This window comes from Homo sapiens, chromosome 1 (genome assembly GCF_000001405.40).
Source record: "Homo sapiens chromosome 1, GRCh38.p14 Primary Assembly".
NCBI classification, from domain to species: Eukaryota; Metazoa; Chordata; class Mammalia; order Primates; family Hominidae; genus Homo; species Homo sapiens.
This window is the reverse complement of record NC_000001.11, coordinates 168,390,357-168,398,611: the sequence shown is the minus strand read 5'-3', so window position 1 is coordinate 168,398,611 and position 8,255 is coordinate 168,390,357.

Below are 8,255 nucleotides of genomic sequence, written 5' to 3'. Positions count from 1 at the left end.
TCCTCCTAGCTCTAGTTGCTACATACTACATGCTAAATATACACTTTTTTGTGTCTTCCCTACTAGAGCATATGCTTCTTTAGCAGAGGAATTTTATTTATCCTACTCACCACTGCATCCTTATCTCCTAGCCTAGCTCATCCTACGCACACTGAGTGCTCAGTAAAAGTTTGTTGAATGAATGAAAGAAAATGTTCTTGGATCATCTCTAAGACAACCCTAAAAAATGTTTAAGAAATATGAGCAAACTCTTTCCAAGGTGACTTCTACACTGCAGACATGACAACACCTACACTATGTCTAATCTAGAAATTGTCACAATTTTTGTGATTTCCCTCATTTTACCTCCCCTATGTAGGGCACAAAGAACTTGGGAAAGGTCTTGTGTAAAAAAAAAAAAAAAACAAGTGTCATATACATGAAATCAGCCCATAGCACAAAACTAGAAGAGCTGTTATGTCTATTTATATGTTGCTAATATTCACTAAGGGCTTACAACATGGCAAGCACGTTACATGTATTTTCTCATTTCATTTTCACAGCAACCCAGGTAGTAAATATTTGATAATTCCCATTATACAGATGATGAAACTGAGACTAAGAGAGGTTAAATAACATGATCCTGATGTGCATGCCGTAAGTGGTAGCATCAGGATTCAACCTCAGGTGGCTAAAAGCCACCACTCCATATTGTCTCTCGGTTTGCCACACCCCTCCACTTATCAGGATAGCCCTGTTGGTACCATTTCCAACACACCTTCCTCCTTCAAGCAGCGCAGAATCTCCATTTTAGCCTGGAATGGTTTGTATTTGTACTAAGCTTTCTTGTTTTCCAGGTATCTTTATATACATTATACAATTTGCTCTTCAAAACAGTGTTTTCTGATAAGCAGGACAGATACCATAATCTGCACATTTCAGACACAGAAAATCAGAAACAAAAAGGTTAAGTGACTTCCCTGAAATCATTCACTTGTCAGAGCTAGGACTTGCACACTGGTGCTCAGATGCCACCACCACTCTTACCCAGATGCTCTCTAGAAAAGAGCATCCCGGGTGCTCCCAGTATGAATGGCCCCATGCCTAGAACCACACCCTAAGTTGGCTCTGGGCCCCCTCCAATTCTCAGAGCAGTCCCCGGGAAGCCTCAAGCTGGCAAATCACTCATCCACCTTGTCAGCTACTTGTAGGCAGATCCTGCCCTGGGGAAACTCAGGAATCTTTTCTCAGAACCTTCAATAAGAGGAAAATGTTCCAATATTTCAGAGACAACTTGTATATCTAAGAAAGAGACCAAATGTTATACTTAATTTAGAAGATGGTGACATATATTTATACCAAATTTTACTCTCACTCTCCTTGCCCTGATCCCCTCAGTCTCCAACCACTCTCCACCTACCACTTTCCACTCCACAAAGAAATAACATTGGATCACATTCCACAGAATGAAAAGGCTTTAAATTATAGCTTTATGAACGTGATTCTGAGAAACCAGTTTACAAAAGATCCTTATCAGCTATTCCTGCAGGCTAAGTGGGGATGAGTAATTGGAAGAAACAATATTATAAATTTTAATCTACTCCTTTTTAGAAACTCTTATGAGATGTCATGGCTGACTAGCAACCAACAAGCATATAAAATGAGCATAGTAATGATCACCAAAAATGAAGAATTTTGCCTCAAGTGGTTTCTACGAAATAGTCCACTTGCTTGCCTGAGCCATTCCTTTTCTTTAGGTTGTCTTCATTGCTCTATGACCCATGAGACAATCTTCATGCCTACATGAAAGTCATATTTGTCCTTCTGTGCCTGAGCCCATGTGTTTTCCACATGTGTTTGCTTGTTTACATTTGTGGGAGCTGGATTGAGTGGGGACCTACCAAGTTGCAGGCACTGTGGTAGGAGTTTTCCATATATAAAGTCATTACGCCTCCAGTGGGCCTATGATGTGGGTGTGATTGCTAGTATTGTTCTTCTTTTACAGGTGAAGACACTGGGGCTCAAAGAAGTTAGCAGATTTGCCTAAGAACACATGACAACTGCTAAAAGTTATCGTAGTGATAGACCTAGAATAGTAACTGGGTATCAGCACTAAAATACATCCACACATTCTTTCAACACTCTTATTTCAGCATAGGACTACTTTTTTCAATGAATCTGATTGAGTGCTAACACTAAGCAACCAGGAAGAGAAAACTATGTGGAATCTTTAATGACTTTCTCTTTCTCCACTTAAGAGATTCATAATGACAATCTTAATCTTAATTTTGTTTTCGCCAAAATGTATTCCATGTATTTATGCATGGTTTATAGCTTGGCCCCTAATTATGTTATGGGTCAAAATTACTTACAAATCAAGTCAGATATCTTTTAAATTTTTTTAAATCACCCATCCCCTCAATTATGAGGCCAGGATGATAGCTATTTAATATTTTTCCAGGAATAAGTCATGACATCAATTGTAATAATGATACATGAAGCCATGTTGGAGTATATGAACAATTTGCTTCTTTCAATCACTGTACCATTGCTTGATTGAGCTTAAGAAAAATTATTTGATGGATTAAGTGAAAATTAAGTCTGATCTTAATGCAGTCTTGCATATGAACATGTATCTGAAGAAAATTAAGCTAGACACAAATAATAAGCCTGCCAACGTCTCCTCTAATTATTTATACCTGACCCACAATTTGGAAAACACTCTCCGTTACACTCTTGTTCTAATTAGATGCATCATTGTCCAATCTGTGAACAGTGCAAGAATGGTTTCCAGTGGCAACCATTTGCACCTCCTAAAGAAGGAGCAAAATATTCTCAAGTTGCTTTATTTTTTCAATATTAAAATCTATTAATAAATTTGCTTACTTCCTTAAAGCTATGCACTTTTCCTTACTTTATAATTGTGCTTTAGAAAGTTGAGTATAAATCACATTTTTGTAACATAAAACACATTCTCCCACGTATTTTTGTATGTGTGTTTCCATTCATTTATGTGATTAATTTATATGGGCATTTTCCTAAGGAAACTACAAATTTTATTAAATATAAATGGCCTAAGTTCATTACCATTAAAATATTAGGACTTTAAAGATAGTGGCTTCAAGATGATCTGGGAAGTCAAAAGGAAAAAGAACTTCTGGAAGAAAATGGTCTACACAGGGCCAGGCACAGTGACTCTTGCCTGCAATTCCAGCACTTTGGAAGGCAGAGGCGGGACAATTACTTGGGCCCAGGAGTTCAAGACCATCCTGGATAACATAGGGAGACCCTCGTCTCTACAGATAATTTTAAAAATTAGCCAGATGTGGTGGTGCACACCTGTGTTCTGAAATACTCTGGAGGCTGAGGTGGGAGAATCACATCGCTTGAGTCCAGGAGTTCAAGGCTAAAGTGATCTGTGGTTATGCCACTGCACTCCAGCCTGGGTGACAGAGCAAGACCTTGCCAAAAAAAAAAAAGGAAAAAGATGAAAGAAAAGAAAAGAAAAGAAGAAAAGAGAAAAGAAAAGAAAGAGGAAGGAAGGGAGGAAGGAAGGAAGGAAAGAAGGAAGGGAGGAAGGAAGGAAGGAAGGAAAAGAAAATGGTTCCCAGAAAGAATGCAGAGAATAAAAAGTGCTCTTTATTTTGCAGAGCATTGGTGACTCCATTTCAGTGCAATAGGGAGGGCAGAAGCCAAATGTAACAGGTTTGAGTTGGAATAGATTGTAAAACTATCAAAACTCCAAATCTCAATGCAGTTTGAAAACTACTCATCAAATCCAATATCCCAATTTTACAAATGAGCAAATTGAGGCCCAAAGAGGGAACATGATATCCAAGGTCACACAACTAGTGGCAAAACCAGGACCTCCTAACTTCCAGTGCTCTCTCCAGTGTCATTTTGGAGCTGCCCATGTTACCTTTACAGTTTATATACAGTTTACTGCTAGGATGCTATACCTCTTGGAGACCATCAAGCCATTCTGACCCTGTGTCTGAGATACATGTGTTACCACAACCCTGAAGAACAGGCTAGTTGCCTTGTCCATCGGTGTCTTCTCTGCCCACTTCTGATTGAAAACTTAGAATTTAGGATTAAAATTTTAAATAGTTCAGATGAGCGATCATTAATAAACAATGCAGTTCAATTCCATTTGATTCTCCTGTGGTCCCTCCTGAATGCGTAAGTAAAGAAGCTCTGATTCCTTTATCACTGGAAACAGAGAGAGCAGTCAGAGGGGTGTGCAGGGTTCTGAGGTGAACAAACCTGAGTTCTGGTGGGACTCCTTAGGTAATGTTTTAAGGTCAACATCTATTGAGCACCTACTGAGTGCCATGCCCTGTGCCTTGCATAGGGAATGCAAAAACTATTAATCCCCAGTCCTGGATCTTGAGGGATTTTTGCTCTCTCTGACTGTGGTTGGACAGACTTAGAGAAAGTTGAATCTCTTAGACAGTCAAGCTAGTCCTCTCTAGAGTCTTTAACCCAACCCATCTTAGGAGCTCTGTGATCATCTCTGTGCCTCCAAACTAAGATAGCACCAGTGGCATGGAGGGAAGCAAATCTGTAAATTTAATGATTATGAAGTAAGCAGAACCAGTCCTGGCCAGAATTTAGCTACTCCTTTACCTTCCATTCTCCTTTTTTCTCCCCTGCAGGGACACCTACTCAACATCCCATACCCAACATCTGCCTCTCTCCAGCTCTCACTCTCACTCTTGCCCTAGTTCTCGGTCTCTCTATCACAGTGCTCTCAATGATGCATGGCATGCTGTGTGTTTTTAATCAAGTTTCTTAACTTCTCACAGTTCTCATTTCTGCATGTGTAATAATATTCACCTAATAGGACTGTCAGACAATCAAATGAGGCAATGCATAGAAGGTGCCCATCATGGTGTTTAGTGATACTAAACAGTTCTCCATAAATATTTGATGTCACAATATTATTATTATTTCTGTTACCATTATTATCCCTTCCCTTAATGAATATACTACCTTTCCTTGGGGTATTTGCATTCAGTGGAAGACAAAGAGCATTTAAATACAAACGATTAGGTTCCTAACAGCAGGGCTTCAGACCAAGAGAAAAGTCAGTGGGCAGAGGTCCTTCCCGGCACCCCTCAAGTCTCTCCCGGTGAGTAGCACCTACTTGGGGCTCACAGAAGCTGCTATCTGCACCTGAGCCTCCTTCTCAATGCAGATCACGTCTGCTGCTCCACATGGAGGGCCCATGTGGCTCTGCTGCTCAGGAGTGAAGCTGATCACCATGCATCACAGCACATAGGCAAGACATGCCCTGGGCTCCTGCCAGGACAGGAGCAATGATGCTCAGGTACAGCTGCTGTCAACCAGAGCGGGGCCTCTCTTGATGGAGGCTGACTTAGTTTTGTGGGCTCTACCTGACAGCCCAGGATGGCCCAAGGTCAAATGACCCAGGGCCTCATGGGAAGTTTATAATGAAGCCAGCAGAGCCGACTGTGTAGCAGCAAATGTCAGCATAAAACTGCCTTCAGCTCCAGGGGCAACAACATGACTCAGCATTCTAGTCAACCTCCTAAATGTCTCTCATTTTCATCCCTGAGCTCCATCCCTATAGCTACTGCCTTAGTTGGGGCTCTTATAATTGTTCTCCAGGTGAATCATAAACAGCTAATATCTACTAAGTTCTTATTACAAGCCAGGTAATAAATACTTAGAGTTTTGCATGCAATTTCTCATCAAAATCTCAACCCTATGAGACAGGAATTATTTTTTCCCATTTTACAGATTAAAGGATGCTCAGAGAAATTAACTTGACCAGAGCTTGTGCCCTTCTATCCTCCTCCCACCACGGCCACCTATCCTCCCCACCCAACCTGCTGCCGTCTTACTGTGCCTGTCTATACCAACTGTTAACCAGAGTCTGCAGTGAGTCTCTCTCTCCTCCAACCCACCTGAGTCGACTTACAAGAATTCCTTCCTACAACATGAATCTGACCATGTCACTCACATACTGAAAATCCTCCAAAGACTCCCTTTTAGGTCCAGATAAAGTTGAGGCTCCCTAAACTGGCATTCTCGGCTCCTTTTTTCAAACTTGCTCCAATCCTCCTTCTGGTTCCACCCTCTGCTTCCTCCCACGTTCTTGCTGCACAAAGCCACTCAGCATTCCTCAAAGGCTCTCTGCTTTTGCACCTCCTAACAGTAACGCCATCCTTCTCTGTGGACTATGGTTTCCCCAGTTCTCTTTCTGGCAAACATCTATTCGCACATGAAGATCTAGATCAAGTGTGACTTCCTCTGTGAAAGCCTCCCTCAGATCCTTCTCTCTGTCCTTCCCATTCTAGTCACTGACCTGATACTACGTCAAATTGTATGCAATTACTTGTTGGAAGACAGCTACCCTGATGAAACTGGGCACTCTCCCAGGGCGGGGACTAGGGCTTATTAGTCACCTTTTAGATACAGTACCTACCTTAGTTCCTGGAACAGGGTAATTTATTGAATATGTATTTCAGAGATGGATGGAGAAATCGTTTGTTTATTTATTCATGCATGCATTCATTCAGTTAGTTAGCTAATTATCTACTATGTGCCAAGCAATGCACTAGGGCACTGAGGAGGCAAAGACGATAAGAATTAGAACTCTCTGAGGAGTCCTTGCTTTGGTCTAATGCTTACATAATCAAGGGCTTTTATTGGTTTTTTCTTGACTCCCTTCCCAGAAAGCAAACTGAACTGCAGAGCCTGCAAAATACCACCTAATGCCATCCTATTTAATCTGGAACCCACTGCCATCCATTTAACTGCCACACTGCTTACAAGAACCTCAATCGTCAGGTCAAAATCACAGCTTGTGCAAATAACCAATGTTAGAAAGCTTGCAACTCCATTGGGATCCTAAATCCATCATGATGTTAGTTCGTTAAATTCTGTGAATTCAATTAACTTTCCTGATTAATCATGGATTAATTAACCAAACTGTGCTGACATGAAAGTATTAAGGCTTATGGTTGCTATTTTTCTAGAGACAAGAGCTCATAATATTTGGCTGTGTCATTTCATTAGATCAAAATTGAAATCTTGCTCTCTGCCTGCTCTGTATCGTCTCATCATTTGATGATATGCTATTTGGTTCTCTAATTTTTTTTCTGCATAAATAGGCCTATTTCATCAATATAATAAGGATACTGGGATCACCTTGTGGGCAAGGACTTCACCATTTTTTTCACTTTCAAGTAAATTTCATTGTGTAAAAAGGCCCAGGAAGAAAAAAATTCATTTTGTATATTTAAGATATATAACAGTGCCAGGCACTGTGGCTCACGCCTGTAATCCCAACACTTTGGGAGGCCAAGGCAAACAGATCACCTGAGGTCAGGAGTTCGAGACCAGCTTGGCCAACATGGTGAAACCCTATCTCTTCTAAAAAAATACAAAAATTAGCTGAGTGTGGTGGCGCACGCCTGTAATCACAGCTACTTGGGAGGCTGAAGCAGGAGAATCGCTTGAACCAGGGAGGCGGAGGCTGTGGTGAGCCAAGATCGCACCACTGCACTCTAGCCTGGGTGACAAAGCGAGACTCCATCTCAAAAAAAAAAAAAGATACATAAGATGATGTTATGGAATACGTATAGATAGTAAAAAGATTACTATAGTGAAGCAAATTAACATTTTCATCATCTCAGTTACCTATTTTGGGGGGAGCCAGCTAAAATCTACTCATTTAGTGTGAATCCTATTTACAATGAAATTTTATTGCCTATAGTCCTCATGTTGTATAGTATCTCTTTAGACTTGTTCATCCTAAATATCTGCTACTTTGTATCCTCTGACCTATACTTCACCGTTTCCTCCCCCCATCCCACCCCCAGTAACCTCTGTTTTTTCTCTATCTCAGTATATTAGAAATTTTTTTAGAATCCACATATAAGTGAGATCATGCAATATTTTTCTTCCTGTATCTGGCTCATTTCATTTAGCATAATGTCCTGCAAGCTCATCCATTTTGTAGCAACGGGCAAGATCTCATTCTTTTTTAGGACTGAATAGCACTCCATTGTAATAATGTACCACAGTTTCTTTATCTATTCATCCATCAACAGACACTCAGGTTGTTTCCATATCTTGGCTATTATGAATAATTCTTCGATGAACATGAGAGTGCAGATATCTTTACAAGGTGATTTCATTTTTCTTGGGTGTATGCCCAGCAGAGGGATTGCCAGGTTGTATGGTAGTTCCTATTCTTAATTTATTTTGAAACTTTCATACTGTTTTCCATAACAGCTATACTA